This window comes from Homo sapiens, chromosome 11, assembly GCF_000001405.40.
Source record: "Homo sapiens chromosome 11, GRCh38.p14 Primary Assembly".
Taxonomy (NCBI): domain Eukaryota; kingdom Metazoa; phylum Chordata; class Mammalia; order Primates; family Hominidae; genus Homo; species Homo sapiens.
This window is the reverse complement of record NC_000011.10, coordinates 1,059,304-1,082,442: the sequence shown is the minus strand read 5'-3', so window position 1 is coordinate 1,082,442 and position 23,139 is coordinate 1,059,304. Positions and strand designations below refer to the sequence as shown.

The window sequence follows — 23,139 nt, the reverse complement described above, 5'->3', positions numbered from 1 at the left end:
CCCAGCCTCTGCTGTGCCCAGCCCTGGCCCCGGGACTCACCACTGCTCGCAGTCATTGGTGATCTCCTGGCCCGGTGTGTACAGGTGTCCGTGCAGCCTGCAGTGGCACTGGCTCACAGGAACGCAGCCACTGTCCCCGATGTCGTCATATACGGTGCCTGGGACAGCCAGGGAGGCGATGTCACCCCGGCTGGCTCAGAAAGAGCCAGAATCCCCACCGAGGGGCTGCCAGCCAGGCCTCCCACCCGCAGGCACCACTGGTCCCCTGTGCTGACGCCTGCGGTCCCCACCTGGTCCCTGGGTTGGGGTCTGGCCATGGGGGTCCAGCCTCCAGGCCACCTTCCTGCCCCTGACAATCGAGCTGCTCCCAAAGGCCTCAGGCACCAGGCCAGGGGCCGGGCAGGAGGAGGTCTGTCCCCAGGGTGATAACCAGGAAGGCAGCCCCCTTCCCGGCCTCCCTGAAGCCACCCTTTGGGAAGGGCCTCACACCGAGGCCCCTTCTCCCCCGGTATCGGGTGGAGGGAGAGGCACTTCTGTGCCGCCGCTGCCCCCACCACCCAGCGGAGCCGTCCCCTCAGCGCAGGCGAGAACCCCAGGCCAGGGCTGCCTCTCATCTGGTGGGCAGTGCCAGGGCGGGGCCATCCTCCACACGCACCTTCTGGGCAGAAACAGCCGTCCATGCGGTGCTCCTCGCACAGGCTGCTCACCTCCAGGTGTGAGCAGGTGTCCATGCAGGGCGAGCCGCTCTCCAGGTACACCAGGTTCCCGGGGCAGGTCTTGGCTGGAACCGCAGAGGCCACGCAGTGAGGGTGAGGCTGGGGCACAGCAGCCGCTCCACCCCGAAGTGCACCGAGAAGGGCTCTCAGCCCACGGTGAGTGTCCCCCCAGCTCCCGGTGCCCGGCGCGGTGAGTGTCCCCCCAGCTCCCGGTGCCCGTGGTGAGTGTCCCCCCAGCTCCCGGTGCCCGTGGTGAGTGTCCCCCCAGCTCCCGGTGCCCGGCACGGTGAGTGTCCCCCCAGCTCCCGGTGCCCGTGGTGAGTGTCCCCCCAGCTCCCGGTGCCCGTGGTGAGTGTCCCCCCAGCTCCCGGTGCCCTCAGTGAGTGTCCCCCCAGCTCCCGGTGCCCGTCACGGTGAGTGTCCCCCCAGCTCCCGGTGCCCGTGGTGAGTGTCCCCCCAGCTCCCGGTGCCCGGCACAGTGAGTGTCCCCCCAGCTCTCGGTGCCCGTGGTGAGTGTCCCCCCAGCTCCCGGTGCCCTCAGTGAGTGTCCCCCCAGCTCCCGGTGCCCGGCACGGTGAGTGTCCCCCCAGCTCCCGGTGCCCGTGGTGAGTGTCCCCCCAGCTCCCGGTGCCCGTCACGGTGAGTGTCCCCCCAGCTCCCGGTGCCCGTGGTGAGTGTCCCCCCAGCTCCCGGTGCCCGGCACAGTGAGTGTCCCCCCAGCTCTCGGTGCCCGTGGTGAGTGTCCCCCCAGCTCCCGGTGCCCTCAGTGAGTGTCCCCCCAGCTCCCGGTGCCCGGCACGGTGAGTGTCCCCCCAGCTCCCGGTGCCCGTGGTGAGTGTCCCCCCAGCTCCCGGTGCCCGTGGTGAGTGTCCCCCCAGCTCCCGGTGCCCGTGGTGAGTGTCCCCCCAGCTCCCGGTGCCCGTCACGGTGAGTGTCCCCCCAGCTCCCGGTGCCCGTGGTGAGTGTCCCCCCAGCTCCCAGTGCCCGTGGTGAGTGTCCCCCCAGCTCCCAGTGCCCGCGGTGAGTGTCCCCCCAGCTCCCGGTGCCCGTGGTGAGTGTCCCCCCAGCTCCCGGTGCCCGTGGTGAGTGTCCCCCCAGCTCCCGGTGCCCGTGGTGAGTGTCCCCCCAGCTCCCGGTGCCCGTCACGGTGAGTGTCCCCCCAGCTCCCGGTGCCCGTGGTGAGTGTCCCCCCAGCTCCCAGTGCCCGTGGTGAGTGTCCCCCCAGCTCCCAGTGCCCGTGGTGAGTGTCCCCCCAGCTCCCGGTGCCCGGCGCGGTGAGTGTCCCCCCAGCTCCCGGTGCCCGTGGTGAGTGTCCCCCCAGCTCCCGGTGCCCTCAGTGAGTGTCCCCCCAGCTCCCGGTGCCCGTCACGGTGAGTGTCCCCCCAGCTCCCGGTGCCCGTGGTGAGTGTCCCCCCAGCTCCCGGTGCCCGTCACGGTGAGTGTCCCCCCAGCTCTCGGTGCCCGTGGTGAGTGTCCCCCCAGCTCTTGGTGCCCTCAGTGAGTGTCCCCCCAGCTCCCGGTGCCCTCAGTGAGTGTCCCCCCAGCTCCCGGTGCCCTCAGTGAGTGTCCCCCCAGCTCCCGGTGCCCGGCACGGTGAGTGTCCCCCCAGCTCCCGGTGCCCTCAGTGAGTGTCCCCCCAGCTCCCGGTGCCCGGCGCGGTGAGTGTCCCCCCAGCTCCCAGTGCCCGTGGTGAGTGTCCCCCCAGCTCAAGGTGCCCGTCACAGTGAGTGTCCCCCCAGCTCTCGGTGCCCGTCACGGTGAGTGTCCCCCCAGCTCCCGGTGCCCGGCGCGGTGAGTGTCCCCCCAGCTCCCGGTGCCCGTCACAGTGAGTGTCCCCCCAGCTCTCGGTGCCCTCAGTGAGTGTCCCCCCAGCTCCCGGTGCCCGGCGCGGTGAGTGTCCCCCCAGCTCCCGGTGCCCTCAGTGAGTGTCCCCCCAGCTCCCGGTGCCCGGCACGGTGAGTGTCCCCCCAGCTCCCGGTGCCCGTCACAGTGAGTGTCCCCCCAGCTCCCGGTGCCCGTCACAGTGAGTGTCCCCCCAGCTCTCGGTGCCCGTCACAGTGAGTGTCCCCCCAGCTCCCGGTGCCCTCAGTGAGTGTCCCCCCAGCTCCCGGTGCCCGGCACGGTGAGTGTCCCCCCAGCTCCCGGTGCCCGGCACGGTGAGTGTCCCCCCAGCTCCCGGTGCCCGTGGTGAGTGTCCCCCCAGCTCCCGGTGCCCGGCACGGTGAGTGTCCCCCCAGCTCCCGGTGCCCTCAGTGAGTGTCCCCCCAGCTCCCGGTGCCCGGCACGGTGAGTGTCCCCCCAGCTCCCGGTGCCCGTCACAGTGAGTGTCCCCCCAGCTCCCGGTGCCCGTCACAGTGAGTGTCCCCCCAGCTCTCGGTGCCCGTCACAGTGAGTGTCCCCCCAGCTCCCGGTGCCCTCAGTGAGTGTCCCCCCAGCTCCCAGTGCCCGTGGTGAGTGTCCCCCCAGCTCCCGGTGCCCGGCACGGTGAGTGTCCCCCCAGCTCCCGGTGCCCGTCACAGTGAGTGTCCCCCCAGCTCCCGGTGCCCGGCGCGGTGAGTGTCCCCCCAGCTCTCGGTGCCCGTGGTGAGTGTCCCCCCAGCTCCCGGTGCCCGGCACGGTGAGTGTCCCCCCAGCTCCCGGTGCCCGGCGCGGTGAGTGTCCCCCCAGCTCCCGGTGCCCGGCACGGTGAGTGTCCCCCCAGCTCCCGGTGCCCGGCACGGTGAGTGTCCCCCCAGCTCAAGGTGCCCGGCACGGTGAGTGTCCCCCCAGCTCCCGGTGCCCGTGGTGAGTGTCCCCCCAGCTCCCGGTGCCCGGCACGGTGAGTGTCCCCCCAGCTCCCGGTGCCCGTCACGGTGAGTGTCCCCCCAGCTCCCGGTGCCCGTCACGGTGAGTGTCCCCCCAGCTCCCGGTGCCCGGCACGGTGAGTGTCCCCCCAGCTCTCGGTGCCCGTGGTGAGTGTCCCCCCAGCTCCCGGTGCCCGGCACGGTGAGTGTCCCCCCAGCTCAAGGTGCCCGGCACGGTGAGTGTCCCCCCAGCTCCCGGTGCCCGGCACGGTTAGTGTTCCCCCAGCTCAAGGTGCCCGGTGCGGTGAGTGTCCCCCCAGCTCAAGGTGCCCGGCACAGACACAGCTCCCACCCGGGCTTGGGGAAAGCACCAGCGTGGGGTCTCCCTGGGGTCCCCTGCCCACAAGGCGCCGGGGCTTACGGCAGAGCGTGGCGGTCCTCCAGTTCCCGGGCCGGCCGCCGGCGTGGGAGCACTGGCGGGAGAACTCGGCCACGGTGCTGCAGACGCAGGTGTCACCGCCCGGGCACCGGCAGCGGTCCTGCTGGCAGGCGCGCAGATACGGCTCCAGCGGCACCAGGTCCTGACAGTCCGCGAAGGCCTCGGCGGTCAGCAGCCTCTCACACTCGGCGCGCTGGGGACAGACGCAGGGTGAGCATGCTATTCAGAGGCCAGCTCCGCCAGGACCCCCACCCCGGACCGAGGGGACTCACGTGCTCGGAGCAGGATGCGGGGGCCACCTCCTCCTCGGGATCCTCACACACCACATCGGGCTGGTTGATCTTCTGCATGTTCCCAAACTCCAGGGGACTGAAGAGCACGCCTGGGGATGCACGGCCCTTCAGCTAGGGCTCCTGGGGGCCCGTAGCCTACCCTGCCCCCTCCAAGCCCTCCGGGCCTCACCGTCAGAGAGGAATTCTGAATAGCTCTGCAGGCCGTTGTAGTCCCCGCAGAGGCCACAGGTGTGGTTCCGGAACTTAGTGTCCAGCTCCAGCTGTTGCGGGAGGGAGCAGGTGAGCTGGCCTCCCGCCCGGCCCACAGCCGCCAGGAACCCCCAAGACTCGTGGCTTGTTTGAGCCAGAGGAAGGTGGGGCAGGAAGGCTGGGGTCAGCAGCCAGGGAGCGGCCTGGCAGGGCAGGTCCCTGAGAAGCCGAGTGCGTTTGGGGGAAGGCTGAGGCCTGGGGGGGTCAGGGCCAGGTCGGCTTCTGCTGCTGCCCCCCAAGTCCAGCACCGACGCCCTGCGCTGCCGAGGCCCTGCCCCACCCATGCCCTCTCGGTGAGGGGTCAGAGCACTGCCCTCCCTGCCCTCCCTTGGGGTCTGCCCAGAGGCCTGACGGAGCCCCCACCAGCCCCACGAGTCCGGGGACCCCTGAGCACCATGAGTGCATCCTCCCGGTTCCACATGAGGGTGAGGCCGGCGCGGGAGTAGACTTTGGTGTAGGCATCGCTCTTCTCAATGAGCAGCCCGGGGCTGTAGTGCGGGGTGCTGACCCTGGCGGAGGCACATCGGGGTCACTCTTGGGTCCACCACCCAGGCCCCCCCGCCCCAGCTTGTCCTCCCGGGACCCCGCCGCCCAGAGGGGACTGAAGCTGGGCACCTGGGGTGGTGGAGATGGCTCTGCCAGGCCCAGCTCCTGCCCTGGGATCACCAACTTGGCCGGCCTCTGGGGTGGAGGGACATAGGCAGTGGCCAAAGAGCACCTGTCCATCTCCGCTGGCCGGGCTTCCCCGGCAGAGCCACCTCCTGCCTGCACGCCCCTCCTCTCCACTCCCTCCTCGGGGCACGGTCCTGGGCAGGGTCCCCCCTCAGAGGCCCTGAGGGCACCAGGTTGGGAGAGGAGGGAGGACCAGGCTGCCCAGCCCCCTTCCAGGCCCCCTGCTTGGTGGAACATCCCCCCATGGGGTCCCAAACCCCCCAGAGCCCCCCAGGCTGCCCCTGAGAACGTCAGGGGCCCTACCCCACCTCCTGCCAGTGCCCCTTGCTGGTCCAGGTAGAGGCACTCACCCCAGCCTCTGTGCCTCGGTCCTCAAGGGCCTCTACCTGCCTGCCCATGCCTGAAAGCCTCTACCCACCCACCTGCCAACACCCATGCCTGAGGGCCCCTACCCACCCACCCGCCTGCGCCCATGCCTGAGGGCCTCTACCCACCCACCTGTGCCATGCCTGAGGGCCTCTACCCACCCACCCACCTGCGCCCACACCTGAGGACCTCTACCCACCCGCCCGCACCTACGCCTGACGGCCTCTATCCACCCACCCGCGCCCACGCCTGAGGGCCTCTACCCACCCACCCGCCTGCACCCATGCCTGAGGGCCTCTACCCACCCACCCGCGCCCACACCTGACGGCCTCTACCCACCCACCTGCCCATGCCCACACCTGAGGACCTCTACCCACCCGCCTGCACCCATGCCTGACGGCTTCTATCCACCCACCCGCCCGCACTCACGCCTGAGGGCCTCTACCCACCCGCCTGCCCATGCCCATGCCTGAGGGCCTCCACCCGCCTGCCCATGCCCATGCTGGGGCGCCTTGCAGGAAACTAAATCCCCAGGCAGAAGAGGGGCAGGCGCTGGATGGGAACGCACTTACAGGGCCTCATTGTTCTGGAGACAATAGGGGAGCAATAGCTGGGGATGGGGAAGGGGGTCCCACAGCCCCCTGCACCGGCTTCTGTAACTCTAGCCTGGGGAGGGCACACACGGCCACTCCATGCACAGGACCAGAGACATGCAGCCTCCAGGGGTGCCAAGTCTGTCCGGAGCCTGGTGGGCTCCGAGGGGAGGGGCTGTCAGGGACACACAGGCAAAGGGATAACTGAAACCCCTTGCCTATGGGGGGAATGGTGGGGGCTCATCAGTGTTTGTTGAATGAATTAGTGACCTGAACCCAAACCTCAAGGCTGTTCTCCTGAGCTGTGTGCTGGGGCGGAAGGGGTCTTCTAGGGCTACAAGGAATATCCCTTTGGGAAACATCAGCCCCCGTTGCTAGGATGTGGGAGGGGTGCCACCGACCACACTCACACGGCCCCGTTAAGCACAGCCAGGTGGCGGGTGAGGTAGATGGTGTCATCCTTGATGGTCAGCAGGATGGACTCCACCCCGGCGGGGGCCTCAGCCTGGCCCGGACCCCGCTTCAGGTGCACAGCAAATTCCTTGTAGGAGCCTCGGCAGTCGGAGGCGAAGTTGTAGTCGCAGGGGCCGGGGAAGCGGAAGACGTCCCCGTCGAAGGTCTTGTAGTGGAAGTTGCCCCAGGTGCTGCAGACGTTGTGGCCGTGGTTTCGGGTTCTGCCCTCTGAGGGAGCAGCGGGGAATGAGGGGTGAGTGGCCCCGGAGGGGGAAGGCTGCCCAAGCTACCCTCGAGAGAAGGCCCCTGAAGAAGCACCTGGAAGCAGCTTCGAGCCCAGCACAGGGCCCCTGGCCGGGAAAGGTTCCTTCCTATCCTCGGGCCCTCTGCTGGGCCTTGGTCACCCCACCACAGGGGTCTCAGGGCTTCTACCCCCGGCCTGGTGAGGAGTGCGGCCGGGTGCCAAGCGGGATGTAGGAGAGGGCATTCTGGGCACCCCGCTCCCCAGCAAGGGCTGTGCTGCCCCAACTCTTCAAGGGTCTCTGCCACCTGAGAATGGGGCCTTCTGGTGGGATCCTGGCCACCCCTTCCTCCCCTATGGACAATGACCCAGTTCACTGGGGCCTGACCTGCTGTTTCCACCTGGTGCTGGCCCCAAGACCCACACTGTCGTCGGGCAGTCAACCCCAAAGGAATAGCAGGGGAGCCCCGACCTTCCAGCTCCTTGAAAGTCAGCAGGGCCGGGGGCTTCCAGGGACCAACCCGGGCCAGGAGCCTCAGCAGAGCCGCGCAGGCTGCACTCTGGGACCAGCTCCTCCTCCCAGACGCGACTTGCCCGCCCGCCTCGCCCTGCCCCCAGGACACTCTGCCAGGCCCCAGACCCCTGTGTCTGCTCTCTCACCTGTCTGGAGCTCCGAGCCCCCTGCCAAAGACAGGGCCAGGCACACAGCCGCCAGGCGGGCTAGTGGCAGCCCCATGGTGGCTGGCAGGGGCGGTGTGGGTTGCGCCCGGGGGCAGGGGTCTGGTCCTTATATGTCCTGGCAGGAGGGTAGGAGGGCAGGAAGGCAGGGGAGGGCCAAGGGTGGGTGTGGCATCTGCCAGATGATCAAGAAGACAGCTGCGGGGGCCCGAGCCCCAATGGGGAAATATTGATTCAGGTTATCGGAGGTCATCTCTTTATGGCTCCCTGGGTAAACGCAGCCTTCTTCAGGATGAGGCAGCCCTGTAGCCTGAATGCCAACACACACCCGGGGAACACATGCAGCTACTAGAGGGGCGAGCCCAGGGTGGCCGGGGGAGGGGTGTCCTGCCAGAAGCAAGTCTGGTCAGGCTCCTTAGCCCGCCATGGGCCCCCAGACACCCGCTGAGCAGGTCCCCAGGCCTGATCAGGCTCACGTTACGCTGGGAGGACCAACCCATTCCTGGGGCCCAAGCTCTGGGGCAGCTTCCAGGCCTGACCCCAGAAAGGGGCCTCCCCGAGGGCAGGGAGGATGTGGGATCCTTCAGGGTCCGGGGGGGCCACTGACTTGTGTGGGACTCTTGGCCGGGCTCATGGAGCTGTGTCAGAGGCCCCAGCCCCCAACCACCCCCTATGCCCATCCTTTTCCCAGGCTGAGCCCTTCTCTGCAGTTACATGTAATTAGAACTTGGGGAGTACATGCCCAGCCAGGGGACATGTTACGGAATCAGGCACACAGGGAGCTGGCTGGTGGCCGGAAGTGGCCGTCTGCCCCTTCTCCTGGGGACCACATGAGGACCTCGGGCCTGACAGCTGAGGAGGTGACAGCCTGCCCAGGCTCCCCAGAACTACCTCTGACTCATGGTGGGGATCCTGCCCCCAAGGCTGTGCCTTTGATGAGCCTTGGTCTCGCCCACCAATCCCAGCAGTTGTCTGGAAAAAAGCCTGGAGAACCGGAACTCACACCGACCCCAGACTACGAGACCACTGGGCCCACCACTGCTTGCCCCGGCCCGGGAGGGCACAGGCAGGCACCCCTGTGTCGCCAGTGGGTAAACTGAGGTCTGGGGGCCCTCCCCTCTCTCTACAATTTTCTCCTCCTGAAAATAGAGAGGGGCCCTGAGTTGAGTTCCTGGCTTTGGCCTGAACATGCCAGGGACATGCCGGCAGCATGATGGCAGTGGGGAGGGACTCACCCCAACAGTTATAGAGACTCGGGGCCCAAAGCACCAAGCCTGTTTCCCTGGCTGACCTGCTGCCCAGACCCAGGGCCTGGGACGAAGCCCCTCCCGCCCTCCTGCGGTGCCCGCCAGCACCAGGCCCCAGGGTCTGCGCTCCCTGCCAGGACCTGGGCACGTGGAGGAAGCTCAGTGTGTGGCCCCTGCCAGGAGGACCGGGGATTAGGAAACCAGAGCCAGCTGGGCGAGGCCAGAGGAGATCATTGTTCACTTCCTGGTGTGGGCCTCCGCACACTGGCACTGAGCCCTGGGGAAACCCAAGGACGGCCCCAACTGCAGTCCCCTGACCCTGACATGCCCCAGGCGGGCCTCAGGACAGAGATTTTCCAGGCCAGGCTCCCCCTGCCCTGGGGGGATTGGAGGAATCCTAGCGGAGCACAAGCTGCCCAGCACAGCCCCTCCAGCCCTGAAGCCTGAGGTAGGTCCCCTAGATCTGACCCTGTGTCCCCTCTGGACGGGCAGTGGTGGTTCCCAGGCTCAGGGGTCTGACCCCAACACCCCTCTTGGCCCATGGCAAGGTCCCAGGTAGGAGCCCTGTCTGAGGTTACAGGCAGCCCTGCATGGGGCAGGGTGCAGAGAGCTGAACCCCATTCCTAACGGGGAAAGGGAGCTGTTCTGGGGAAGAGGACAGTGAGGGCTCCATCAGGCCGGGGCGACTATGGAGTCACTGGCACCCCCAAAGCGAGAGTGTCCCCAGCCTCTTTGCCTCCAAGCCTCAGCCGGTCCCCACTGCCAGATTCGCAGCATCTACTGTGGTGGTGGAGGCGATGGGGGCCAGGCAGTTCCACAGCACTGCATCCCCTCTCTCCCCACGTCCTGTGTTGGTCCAAATGTGGCCCCCATTGCTGGTTACTGAAATGTCGGCCTCCAGCAAGTGCAGAGTGGGAGAGTGGGCAGCCGTATTGCCCTGGGACCCCATCGCCACTCTGTGGCTTTCCCATGGGGTTCGAGGGACCCTGGTGGAGGGAGAGAGTGGGGGCTTTGACCACTCCGAGGAAAATGCTTGTCGGTTCTGCTTTCTGTGACAAGAACATGATGGCAGTGGTGGGAATGACCACCCACCCAACGGCGGGCCGGACACAGTTGAGCCAGGAGCCCACATCCCCAGCCCCATGTCAGGCTGCCCCAGCCTCAGGCCCCGGCTGGGACTCAGAACGAGGCTGCATGGAGTACAGCCTCCCACACAGACAGCATCCTGGAGTACAGCCTCCCACACAGACAGCATCCTGGAGTACAGCTTCCCACACAGACAGCATCCTGGCCCCCCCAGCCTCTCCCCACCCTGCCCACGCCCAACATGTTTACCGTGACAAGACACTGTTGCCAACGGCTGCATGGAATTTGCAGTAGTGACTGCAGGGAGGAGGCAGCACTGACGTCACATGGCACCTGAAGTGACGGCCCCCCTACTGTGTATCCACAAACCTGACTCACCAGGAAGCCCGGGTGAGGGGCATGTGGGGGTCAGAGCCACCGGAGGAAGAGGGAGAGGGAAAGGAGGAGGAGGAAGGGGAAGGGGAAGAGGAGGCTGGGGAGGGGGCGAGAAGAGAGAACCCCTATGCTGCTGGGGGAGCCAAAGACAGCAGGTGCGTCCCCTGCACACGTCCCGGTCGCTCGAACGGTGGCTTTGTGAGTCGGCCTGTCTGGCCATGGCTCCAGTCTTTGGCATGGCGCCGGGCTGGATGCTGCTGTGAAGGGACTTCTTAAATGTGACCCTGGCGAAGCAGGTGGGTCTGACACAATCAGTGCAGGGCCTTGAAAGAAAAGACCTTGGTCCTCCAAGGAGCAGGACGTGCTGCCTCCAGGACGTGCTGCCTCCTGATGGCCTCCGGGGGTCTCCAGCCTGAGGCCCACCCTAGGCTGCCTGAAGTAATGGCCCATGCCCCACTGATTGCTTCCCTGGAGTATCACCACCCACCCCCGCAAGCACTCCCCATGTGGCCAATACCTCTCCCACGGGGGCGGGAGACCAGTCACAGAGCCTGCTTTCCTGGAGAGCACTCCACCCGCCCACACCGCAGCCCTAGGTATCCCCACGTGGCAGCCCCTGTCTCCCTACATCCTGTGTTGGTCCAAACGTGGCCCCCATTGCTGATTACTGAAATGTCGGCCTCCAGCAAGTGCAGGCTGCCCACATGTCAGTCACATGTGTCATCTGGGGCCATTTTTCCATGTCCCTATGTGGTTGGTCTGATTATTAGCTCACATTACAGAAGGGGAAACTGAGTCACCGAGCATCTTGTGTCTCCATCTCAAGGCCAGCATCTCAGGACACAAGAGGCCAGGCTGGCCCACACCCATTCTGCAGGCCAGAGCCATCCTGCCACAGCCAACCCTGCCAGCACCAGGCTGCCCAGCCCCCAGCCAACTGGGCTTAACCAGGGTGGTGGGGGCTGGCACCCAACCCCAGCGCCACAGCTCTGGCCCTGCCTTGGTGGGCAGATGGAGAGCACACCCAGAGAAGCCGTGGTTCTCAGCCCTCTGGACACCAAGGAGGACCCCAGCTCCAACCCCAGCCCCACACAGGGACACAGTGGCAAGGCCCAGACCTACACCCTGGCAGGTGAGCATCTGAGGATTCAAGGGAGGGCAAATAAAACACCAGTCACGTCCAGCTCTCCAGGGCAGACTCAGACACCCCAAGCATGTCCACTTTCTGGGGCTCCAAAGGTTCGGAGACACCTGGAGGTGTGCACTTCACCTCCCAAGGACTGCAGAGGTGAAAGGCGGGATGTTGGTGCCACTGCTCTGTGAGGTGTGGAGGGTGAGCAAGTGAGCACACAGAGGCGTTTGTTCTCAGGTGAGGGATCAAGAGAGGCCTCAACCAGTCCAGGCCTCTGCTGGGCAGGCGGGCACTGGGCAGGCTCCATTGAGGAAAGGGCAGCCCAGGGCCAGGGCCATCAGGTGGATAGCTGTGCTTCAGGAGTCCAGACACCCTGGGGCACTTGCCCCTCAAGACTTGGTCCAGGTGTCACATCCTCACACTGAACACTGTTCTCACCACCCTGGCCACACTGTGTGACCCTTGCTGGCCATCCTGCTCCGAATGCTGCAAGGGCAGCAGCCCATGTGGGCCCCCCATGGCCACCCTCACAGCAGATGCACTCAATAACTTTGCTTCTGGGTGGGTGGGTGGGTGGGTGGGTGGGTGGGTGGGTGGATGGATGGATGGATGGATGGATGGGAGGAAGGGAGGGGGAATGAATGGGTCAGCAGGTGGATGGATGGATGGATGGATAGATGGACGGATGGGAAGCAGGGAGGGGAAATGAATGGGTCAGTGGGTAGATGGATGGGATGGATGGATGGATGGATGGATGGATGGATGGATGGATGAATAGATCAATAAATGAGTGGGTAAATGAGTGGACGGATGGATGAATGGGTGGTTGGCTGGGTGAATGAGTGGATAAATGGAGGGAGGGAGGGACAGATCGTTAGATGGATGGATGAATGGGTGGGTGGGTGGATGGATGGATGAATGGGTGAATGAAAGGATGGATGGATGGGAGGGAGGGAGGGAAGGATGGATGAATGGGTCAGTGGGTGGGTAGATGGATGGGATGGATGGATGGGTGGATGGGTGAGTGGATGGATGGATGGATGGATGGATGGATGGAAGGGATGGATGAATGGGTCAGGGATGGATGGATGGGAGGGAGGGATGGATGAATGGGTGGGTGGATGGATGGATAGATGAATGGGTGGGTGAGTGGATGGATGGATGGATGGATGAGTGGATGAATGGGTGAATGGAAGGATGGATGGATAGATGGATGGATGGATGGATGGATAGATGGGTTAGTGAATGGATAGGTGGATGGATGGAGGCATGGATGAATGGAGGGATGGATGTGTGGATGGGTCAAAGAATGGATGGATGAAAGGATGGATGGATAGATGGATATGTGAGTGAGTGACTGGATAGGTGGATGGATGAATGGAGAGATGGATGAGTGGATGAGTGGATGGATGGATGGATGGATGGATGGATGGATGGATGGACAAATGGACAGATAGATGGATGAGTGGGTGGGTGGATGGGTGGGTGGGTGGGTGGATGATGGATTAATCGGTGGGTGGGTGGGTAAAAGGATGGACAAATGAAATCTCCCTGGTACTGGAGTTCACCTTCTGTGGCAGCTCCACAGGGCTCCACCTCACAAGAGCTCATGATGAGCAAGTACAGGCCAACTGCTCTATAGGCCCACCTCACTGGAGCCCTCAACCCTGGGAGGAAGGCACTCACCTCACTCCATCCTATAGACAAGGAAACTGAGACTCAGAGAGGGTGAAAGCACTCCTTCGGCTCACCCAGCCCAAGAATGGCAGAGCTGCAATGTGGTCCCAGAGAATCTTCCCAGCCCCAAACTTACACTGTCCACCGCTTGATAATGGTGTGGCCACTTTTTGCAAAGGAGACTGTTGCTTTTTGGAGAAACCCCAGTCATAAGTAACAGAAAGATCAGGGGTTCCTGGGTGGTGTCGTAGCCCCAGGGCAGGAATCTCAGTGCCCCCTTGCTCCTTGCCGAAGTGCCCAAAGGTCAGGGCCCTTCAACATCCCTCCACCCCCGCCCCCTTCTGTGAGTTTATTTCATGCATTTGAAATACAGTTGGATTGTTTTGCCACATTCCGCATTTCATCTGTGGCATCCCTCAACCTCCTGAATATTTTTATGTTTGTGTACATCAAGGTTCACTCTTTGCACTATTAAGTTTTCTGGGTTTTGCAAATGTAGAGTGTCAAATATCCACCAGGATAGTAGCATGCAAAATGGTTGTACCACCCTAACACATGCCCTGTGTCTCAGCTATTCCATCCTTCCCCACAAATCCCTGGCAAGCACTGGTCATTTTTTACTGTCACTATAGTTTGGGCTCTAATATATTTCTCTGATTAATTTTAAATCTCTAAGAGCCAAACAACTCTAGAATAACATGCATCCACTATAAATTATGACTAGGATTTTATGTGGCAACAAGGAAAACACTTAGGATTTACTGGTCAGGAAAGTGCGTTGACACAGGCTAAAACAGCTTAACTGAGTTAGAATTGACATACAATAAACCGCACATGTTTACGTGTATGATTGGGTCAGTTTTGACATAAATTGGTTGAACTTGGGAAACCACCACCCCAATCAGGATGAATATGTCCCCACCCATCACCCACACAGGGCTCCTTACACCTCTTTGGAATCTCTCCCTCCCACCCTTCCCCACTCGGGAGCTACCCAGGGTTTCTTTTCCATGGCATTTGTTTGCATTTTCTAGGACTTTGCAGATTTGTTTGCATTTTCTAGGATTCTGTGTAAATGGAACTATACAGTATGCATTCTTCGGTCTCTTTCACTAAGCATAATTATGTTGAGATTGCATCCAGCATTGCTGTGTAAATAGCTCATTCCTTCCTGGGCTCATTCATTCCCTGCTAATGGACACTGGGCTCATTGTCCATTTGAGGCCACTACGAACAAAACTGCTTCGAACATTTGTGTAATCTTAGTGTGGACATACACTTTCTTTTCTGCCAGGTAAATACCTAGGAGTGGAGTATCTGGATCAGACAGGTAGGTCTATGTTCAACTTTTTGAGAAATCGCTAAACTGCTTTCCAAAGTGGTTGTACCTTTCTACATTCCCACCGGCAGTGTATGAGACATCCGTTACCCCACAGCCTTGTCAACACTTGGGATGGTCAGTCTTTTTAATTTTAGCCGCTCCAGTAAGTGTGTGATGTTGTCTCATTATTACTTGAAATTGTATTTCACTAATGACTAATGATGTTAAGAATTTTTTTATACACTTATCTGCCATCCATATGTCTTCTTTTTTTCACTTTTTAAAAAACTTTATTTTAGACCAGGCACAGTGGCTTATACCTGTAATCCCAGCACTTTGGGAGGCCAAGGCAGGCGGATCACCTGAGGTCAGGAGTTTGAGATGAACCTGGCCAACATGATGAAACCCCATCCCTACTAAAAATACAAAAATTAGCCAGGCGTGGTGGCGCACCTGTAATCCCAGCTACTTGGGAGGCTGAGGCAGGAGAATCAGTGGAACCCGGGAGGCAGACGTTGCAGTGAGCCAAGATCGTGCTGCTGCACTCAAGCCTGGGCAACAGAGTGAGACTGTCTCAAAAAAAAAATTATTTTAAAAACCCCTATTATATAGTTTTGCTTTTTCAACAAATACTGGGTGCTGTGTTTAAATATTAAATCCATTATAGAGAAATCTTTGGTAATGTACTTGTGACTAGTATAGCAATTCCTGTCAAAGCACTTTCTCCTCACATCCTTGTGTGACTGTTTAACTTAGGATATCTAATTTCTTACAAAAAAAAAAGTCAGTTTACTCCCAGGCTTATAAGCCCCATATGTCTTCTTTAGTGAAACGCCTACTCAAATCTTTTGCCCATTATTTATTGGGTTATTGGGGTGGGTTTCTTTTTAAGATCTAAACATTATTTATGTATTCTAGATACGAGTCCTTTATTGGAGAGATCCTTTGTAGATATATTTCTCCCAGTCTGTGGCTTGTCTTTTCATTCTCTCAATAGTGTTTTTTAAAGTAGGAGTTTCAAAATTTTGATAAAATCCAATTGATCAATTTACTTTTTTATAAATTTTGCCTTTGGTATTACATGTAGGAAATCTTTGCCTAACCCAAGATCACACAAATATTTTCCCCTATGTTTTCTTTTAGAAATTTTATAGTTTGGGGTTTTCCATGATGCATTTTGAGTTAATTTTTTATATGTAGTATGAGGTATGGCTTGAAGTTTGTCTTATTATGTATGGATATCCAATTGTTCTAGCCCCATTTGTTGACAAGACTATTCTTTCTTCATTGCAGTACTTCTGCTCCTTTGTTGAAAATTCAATTAGCCAGGTGGGGTGGCATGTGCCTATATGGCTACTGGGGAGGCTGAGATGGGAGGATCACTTGAGCCCAGGGTGTAGAGGTTGCAGTGAGCTGAGATCATGCCACTGCACTCCAGCCTGGGTGACAGAGTCAGACCCTGTCTCAAAAAAAAATTTTTTTAAAGAAAAAATAATTATTGTTTATATACACATGAATTTGTTTCTGGACTTTACTCTGTTCATTGACCTATTTGTCTGTCATTATGCTAATGCTGCACTGTTTTGATTATTGTAGCTTTGTAACAGTTCTCAATCCCAGCCAATGTTTCAGTTTCCTCCAACTTTGCCCCTTTTTCAGGACTGCGTTGGCTCTTCTATGTCCTCTGCATTTCCCTCTGAATTTAGTCTCAATTTGTCAGTTTCTACCAAAAAAAAAAAAGCCTGCAGGGATTTTGACTGAAATTGCATTAAATATATTTATCAGTTTAGAAAGAACTTACGTCCTAGCAATATGGAGTCTTCCAGCCCATGGACAAGGTGTACATACCTGTTTCTGCAGGTCTCTAATTTCCCTCCCAATGGTTTACAGTTTTCAGCGTACTCGTCTTTCACATCCTTTGTCAGATTTTTCCCTAAGTATTTCATATTTTTGTACCGTTATAATGATATTGTTTGTTCCCATTTCCAATTATTTATTGCTAATATAGAGAGATACAATTGATTTTTTGGGACTTTTTATTATGGAAAGATACACATAACAGAATTTCTCATCTTACGCAGTCTTAAGTGCGTGGCTCAGTGGTATTGACTATGTCACCATGCTGTGCAGCCATCACCAGCATTCAGCTCCAGAACACCTTCATTTTTCTTAAACTGAAACTCTGCTCCCACTAAACACACCCTCCGCTCTCCCCCAGCCTCAGGTAGCCACCATTCTGCTTTCTGTTGCTATGAATCTGACAACTTGAGATACCTCAAATAAGTGGAATGATACCGTGTTGGTCTTTTTGTGTCTGGCTTATTTCACTCGGCCTCATGTCATCTATGTATTGTAGCCTGTGTCAGAATTTCCTTCCTTCCTTTTCAAGGCAGAATAATATTCCACTGTAAGGACAGACCACATTCTGTTTATCCCTTCATCTGTCAAGGGGCACTTGGGTGGCTTCAACTGCTGTGAACATGAGTGTGCAAATATCTTTTCAAGACCTGCTTTTAATTTTTTTTTTTTTTTGAGATGGAGTCTTGCTTTATCACCCAGGCTGGAGTGCAATGGTACAATCTTGGCTCACTGCAACCTCCACCTCCCAGGTTCAAGTGATTCTCCTGCCTCAGCCTCCCAAGTAGCTGGGATTACAGGCGCCCACCACCACACCCAGCTACTTTTTGTATTTTTAGTAGAGACAGGGTTTTGCTGTGTTGACCAGGCTGGTCTTGAACTCCTGACCTCAGGTGATCTGCCCACCTCAGCCTCCCAAAGTGCTGGGATTACAGGCATGAGCCACCGCACCCTGCCTCAGCCACAAGAGTAGCTGGGATTACAGGCACACACCACCATGCCTGGCTAAATTTTTTTTGTATTTTTAATAAAGACAGGGGTTTGCTATGTTGGCCAGGCTGGTCTCAAACTCCCGACCTCAAATGATCCACCTGCCTCGGCCTCCCAAAGTGCTGGGATTACAGGCGTAAGCCACTGACCCTGGCCCCTAATAGAAATTTTAACATGATATAAAGATGATTTAAAGTATACGGGAGGATGTGGTCAGGCGTGGTGGCTCATGCCTGTAATCCCAGCACTTTGGGAGGCCGAGGCGGGTGGATCACCTGAGGTCAGGAGTTCGAGACCAGTCTAGCCAACATGGTGAAACCCTGTCTCTACTAAAAATACAAAAATTAGCCAGGGGTGGTGGCAGTTGCCTGTAGTCCCAGCTACTCGGGAGGCTGAGGCAGGAGAATTGCTTGAACCCAGGAGGCAGAGGTTGCAGTGAGCCTAGATCACACCACTGCACTCCAGCTTGGGTGATAGAGAGAGGTTCTGTCTTAAAAAAATAAATAAATAAATAAAGTACATGGGAAGATGTATGTAGATTATATGCAAAGACTATGCCATTTTATGTAGAGGATTAGCGCACGCATACATTTTGTGTCCTAGGGGTGCTGGCACCCATGCCCCGTGGATATCAAGGGACAACTGCCGCTGCCTTTTATAGATACTCGATTATGCACAGATGATCACATCATCTGTCACAGTTTCACTCCCCCTTCCAATCTAGATCTTTTAAGTGTATTCACCTTCCCGATTGCCTGGCTGTGCTTTCCAGCACCATGTTCATTAGAAGTGGTGAGAGCAGGTATCTTGGTCTTGTTCCTGATTTCAGGGGAAAGCATTAGTGTTTAAGTATGATGTCATCTGCAGGCTTTTTATAAATGCCATTATGAGGATGAGGAAGTTATATTCTATTTTTAGGAGAGTTCTTATCAGGAGTGGGTGTTGAATCTGGTCAAGTGCGTTCTTCTGAATTGACTGAGATGATCCTATGATTGGTCATCTTTAGTCTGTTCACATGATGAATTACATTGATTTTGAATGTTAGACCAACTCTGGATTCTTGGAATAAATCCCCTGTGGTTATAGTTTTAATAAATTTTTTGATTCGATTTGAAAAAATCTTGTTTAGAATGAGAACACGTGGATACAGGGAGGGGAACAACACACACTGGGGCCTGGTGGGGGGTGGGAGGTGAGGGGAGGGAGAGCATCAGGACAAATAGGTAATGCATGTGGGGCTTAATACCTAGGTGATGGGTTGACAGGTGCAGCAAACCACCATGACACACGTTTACCTATGTAACAAACCTGCACGTTCTACACATGCATCCCAGGACTTAAAGTAAAATATTTTTTTAATTTGTTTAGAATTTTTACATCTGTGTTTATGAGGGATGTTGGTTCATAGCCTTCTTTTTTTTTTTTCCAGAAATATGGACACTTTATTTATGTGAAAGAGTCAGGAGAAGAACTGGCCACAGTGGTAAAGTACATTATCAAAATAACCAGGAAACATAGGACAAAGAATAGCAGGAAATAGTATACCGTGTGTTTATTAAGTTGGGTTGTAAATAAGAGGGATAGGAAAGCCCCTTCCCACACTCTTTTCCCGATGATCTCATTTCCAACACCTTCATAAGCCCCTTCTTTCATTTGATACACAGTCTTTCATTTGAAAGCAGTCTAACATGTTAATGTGTCAGATAAAGCTTGTATCTAAAGACTGCTTTCAAAGGAAAGGTTCATAGTCTTCTTATAATGTTTTTATGTGGTTTTGAAATCGGGGTAATACTGGCCTCAGAGGAAGAGTTGAAGGTGTTCCTCTCTTTTCAGTTATTGTTGGAAGGGTTTGTGCAGAGTTGACATACTTCTTTCTTAAATCTTTGGTAGAATTCACCAGTGAAACCATCTGGGCCTGGGGTTTTCTTTGCAGGAAGGCTTTGTTGTGTTTTATTTACAATTCAATTCCTTTAACATATAGGGCCATTCAAGTTATTTCTGCCCAAGTGATCTTCGATTCATCCTGTGTCCAAGGAGTTTGTCCTTTTCATCCGGGCTGCCAAATGTTTCGACTTGAAGTAGTTCATGATGTCCCCCTATTATCTTTGTAATATGTGTAGAATCCACAGTGGCGTCACCTGTCTTGTTCCTAACATTGGTAATTTGTCTGTTTTCTCTTTTATTCTCCAGCCTGGCTAGGGGTTTATCCGTCTAATTGATCTTCTCAAAGAACCAGCTTTTGGTTTTGTTGACTTTTCTCTAGTGTTTCATTTTGTTGTTTTATTGATGATTTTGCTTTTCCTGCTCACGTTGGGCTTAATTTGCTCTTCTCTTTCTTTCCTAATTTCTTACGGTAGAGAGACCATTGATTTGAGGCTTTCCTTCTTTTCCCATGTAGGAGTGGAACGTGGTGGATTTTCCCTACATGCGGCTTTGGCTAAACCGCACGTTCCCCTCCCTCCTGAGGGTCTGTCTCCTCATCCACCCGCTAGTGCATCTCCAGCTTCTGTACCTCAGACTCACCTTGAAAGTCCACTTGACATCCATCACTGTGCAGTCAGTCAGGAAAAGGAAGCCACACTCGTTATTTCAAACAGAAGGAAGTTAATACAGAGAACTGGTTACACAGGTGCTGGAGGCTGGAAGAGAAGACGGGCACCGAGGCACCTGACGTTGTGAACAGCAGGAAGCAGCTTCCACTCCCAGGGCTGGGGGAACAAATGAAAGAGGTTGGGCTGCCAGAACCCAGGAGCACAGAGAAAGGATGGAGTGGCAGAGCCAGTATTGGGAGTGCCAAAAGAAGTGGTGGGCTGGAGTAGCCACCCCCCTCTATGGCTGGAGGGCCCTGAAAGAAGCTGGTGAAGGAACAGAAATCTCCTCTCCTCACCTCCCACCAGTGCCTTCCAGGAAGACATCTGGTCAAAGAGCCTGAAAATACAGTGTGCACAATCCCAGCCGCATGTATCAGTCAGCTATTGCTGCATAACAAAGCACCCAAAAACCAAGGGCTTACAACAATGTGTTTCATGGATGATAGACGGATAGAGAGATAGAAGAGATAGGTAGAAATGTGTGTGCGCACGTGTGTGTGTGTGTGTGTGTGTGTGTGAATGTGTGTGTGTATGGATTAGGGTATATACAGATGCTTTCTAGTATTCTCCCCTGAGAAGGTCTACCAAAAAAAAATGACACCCCAGTAGTAACTACCACACCCAATGTCCAGATCTTGGTTTCTAAATACCATTTTCCAATTAAAAGAATCAGGACTCCTTAGAGAAGTAGCTGGGTCTCTGGGGAAGGAAATTACAAGATAAACCTGGAGCATTTTATGGTGCCAGAAAGTGAGGAAGGGCTCAAAAACAGATAGGGTGAAAGCACACAGGAGCCACTGTGAAGGGGCTGCCATGGCCAACACTGGAACAATTTGAGAAACAAAATAAAGATAATGTTGGATTATAACCCAAATAATAAAATAAGTATCTACAAACCCATAGTGAAGTAAATAACTGCACAAACAAATAAGAAGAAACAGCTTATTTTAATAGAATTCCAGTTACTTAATGCAGAAGAAATGAAGTAAATAGAAAATCACCATCAGAGGCCACAGGATTAACAGCTGTCTACAGAGGTATGCTAAAGTCAATAGGCTGAGGTTAGAAGAGAAACAAGTTATTTACATGAATTCAAAGTATCTTCCCTAAGATATTTATTAATTACAAAGTCGCAAAATAGTAACTTTGCAGTGCAGAGACCTGGCAGACGCCACCTGAACCAAGGGTTCAAGGTTAACATCCCCAGCAATGGGACAGGCAGCGTCATACACTCTGATAAGCTACATAAGAGCACGTGGCCGGGCCCACTGGCTCACACCTATAATCCCAGCATTTGGAGAGGCCACATTGGGAAAACCGCTTGAGGCCAGGAGTTCGAGACCAGCCTGGGCAATCTAGGGAGACCTTGTCTCTGCAGAAATGTTAAAAAATTAGCTGGGCACAGCAGTGCATAGACTCTGGGGTTCCCAGGGACCTCAAACTCCACCCTAGTGGGGCTGGACCTGGGGTGTGGCCTGTGCCGGATGTCCTCGCTGGCTGACATTTGCTTTCTTTATTACTCCCTTCCTTTATTGCACCGTTTAATTGTATTAAATGGTGCCCAAGGCATAAGGTGCAGGATTTTATGGCCTCGGGGTGACCCTGCAGTGAGGCCTGGCCCTTTCCTTCTTTACTTTGTGAGCCCGGGGCTGCCCTGCCCTCAACGGTGACGCTATGGGAGCCCTTGACTCATGTGCCAGGAATTGGGAGGGACGCCAAAGGCAGTGCTGTTTTCCATACAGAGCTGTGGCACTCGTTACAGAAATCAGAAAACACAAAACTGTCCGTGGGTGGAAGAAAAATGTCCCCCTCCCCCTCCCCCGAGAAGCCTCTTAATCCTTCAAAATCTTTCCCACCTTCTGTGCAGGTCTGGGAGATTCCTGACATTGTCCTGGGCATTCCTGGGGACAATTATGTAGCCGGAGTCTTTTCATTAAATGACATTTGACGTCTCTGAACTTAAAGCAATACACGTGCACCGAGGGCATGTCCAGATGCAGAGACGTGTTCGAAAGCTCTAGCGCGTCCCCATGTCAGCGGCCTGGGGTCCCCAGGTGGCAGTATCGTTTCAGGTGGGGAGGGGTCCCGGCTGCTGGGTGCCGTGGCCTGGCCTGGGCAGGCACAGTTGCTCATCTGCGATGGGTTCTGGATAGCAGCACCCTTGCTGGTTATGGGGGTGAACAGTGTTCGTGAATCTCTGCCCGCATGGGCACCCACGGGTGCTCCTAAGTTCTCCTGGTTATTACCACAGATTGTTTTACAGCCTCTTTTCCCCCACAATATATCGGGGAAGTTAAATATTTGCTGAGAACATGATTATTGATTGATTGATTGATTTTGAGGCAGGGTCTCGCTCTGTTGCCCAGGCAGGAGTGCAGTGATGCAATCTTGGCTCACTGTAGCCTTGAACACCTGGGCTTAAGCCATCCTCCTGCCTCAGCCTCCTGAGTAGCTGGGACCACAGGTGTGCACCACCAAGCCCAGCTAATTTTTTAGTTTTTAGAGATGGGGTTCTCACGATATTGCCCAGACTGGTCTTGAACTCCTGGTCTCAGGTGACACCCCGACCTTGGCCTCCCGCAGATCCAGTACCATCTTCCCAGGCTTTCTGTTTTCCTCCTAGGAGAGCTGTGGCTAAGGGGTCAGCCCAGCTTGACTGTCGTTCTGCCTCTGCTACTCATGATGGCGCCCGCATCCCCCTTGCCTCTGACGGCTGAGAGCCACCTCCTGGCAGTCCCAGGTCCCCCTCGCCTCTGACGGCTGAGAGCCACCTCCTGGCAGTCCCAGGTCCCCCTCGCCTCTGACGGCTGAAAGCCACCGCTCGGCTGTCCCGGGTCGATTCTTCCCATTGCGACTCTTTTCCAGCTGAGTGGCTGTGGCTCCCACTGTGAGGTCTGTGGCCCTCAGAGAAGAGCAGCCCAGGGATCTGTCCCTATTTCTACCCCACTCACTAATCTAGTTCCCAGTGTGGGGAAAGGTCTGTCTTCTGGACCTTCTGGTGGGTGAGGAGGTCTTAAGTGACAAACCTACCCTAGCCTTCCAATCTCCCTAGGCCTTTGCATCCCTTCCTCCACAGTAAACCAAGCCAGGTCTGGCCTTTCCAGTTTAATGTGACCCCTTTTCTGTCTATGTTGCACCCAACGAAGCAGCCAGCGGTTAGCGCCCTGCTAACTCCCTGAACCACACCTCGAAAGGCAGACTGTCTGCTTGGTGGGCACCTGCAGCACGTTCAGCGTGACCCCTTCATGGTCCTCCCACACCCCTGGACCGCATTTCTGTCTGTGCGGGACGGACACGCCACACCGCTCTTGCCATGGAGGTCACCTCCGTGGTTTGCACTCAGCCTCTGGCTCTGGGGCTTGCTGGACTCGAGTCAGCAC

At 56.6% G+C, this 23,139-nt stretch overlaps 1 protein-coding gene and 1 long non-coding RNA gene across 3 annotated transcripts in view, besides 3 other annotated features; one reads left to right on the top strand and one right to left on the bottom strand.

Moving 5' to 3' along the window:
• Positions 1–7,569, bottom strand: part of MUC2 (mucin 2, oligomeric mucus/gel-forming) — a 35,635-nt gene extending 28,066 nt beyond the window's left edge. The window contains 8 exon segments of the mRNA NM_002457.5: positions 41–158; positions 656–781; positions 3,921–4,131; positions 4,211–4,320; positions 4,401–4,491; positions 4,875–4,989; positions 6,522–6,792; positions 7,466–7,569. Coding sequence (NP_002448.5) covers positions 41–158; positions 656–781; positions 3,921–4,131; positions 4,211–4,320; positions 4,401–4,491; positions 4,875–4,989; positions 6,522–6,792; positions 7,466–7,541 — 1,118 coding nt within the window. The 5' untranslated portion in view covers positions 7,542–7,569.
• Positions 3,555–4,096: an enhancer, noted in NCBI's record as "H3K27ac-H3K4me1 hESC enhancer chr11:1078491-1079026 (GRCh37/hg19 assembly coordinates)". NCBI's record gives its function as "activates a minimal SCP1, AML or CMV promoter by ChIP-STARR-seq in naive H9 embryonic stem cells {active_cell/tissue: H9 hESC(naive)}" and the evidence as "EXISTENCE:reporter gene assay evidence [ECO:0000049][PMID:30033119]".
• Positions 4,122–4,622: an enhancer, noted in NCBI's record as "H3K4me1 hESC enhancer chr11:1077965-1078465 (GRCh37/hg19 assembly coordinates)". NCBI's record gives its function as "activates a minimal SCP1, AML or CMV promoter by ChIP-STARR-seq in naive H9 embryonic stem cells {active_cell/tissue: H9 hESC(naive)}" and the evidence as "EXISTENCE:reporter gene assay evidence [ECO:0000049][PMID:30033119]".
• LOC107987157 (uncharacterized) lies at positions 9,009–22,111 on the top strand. Of its 2 annotated transcripts, none has more exons than XR_001748091.2 (5): positions 9,009–9,178; positions 11,018–11,323; positions 14,295–14,330; positions 18,598–18,651; positions 19,150–22,111. It is a non-coding gene; the product is annotated as an uncharacterized LOC107987157 (long non-coding RNA). The 2 variants fall into 2 exon arrangements; XR_007062544.1 differs by having other exon boundaries at positions 18,598–19,326; positions 19,567–22,111.
• Positions 20,801–22,000: an enhancer, noted in NCBI's record as "P300/CBP strongly-dependent group 1 enhancer chr11:1060443-1061642 (GRCh37/hg19 assembly coordinates)". NCBI's record gives its function as "activates an origin of replication core promoter dependent on BRD2, BRD4, P300/CBP, MED14 and CDK7 cofactors, with strong dependence on P300/CBP, by STARR-seq in HCT116 cells {active_cell/tissue: HCT116}" and the evidence as "EXISTENCE:reporter gene assay evidence [ECO:0000049][PMID:35650434]".
• Positions 22,112–23,139: the final 1,028 nt, after the last annotated feature.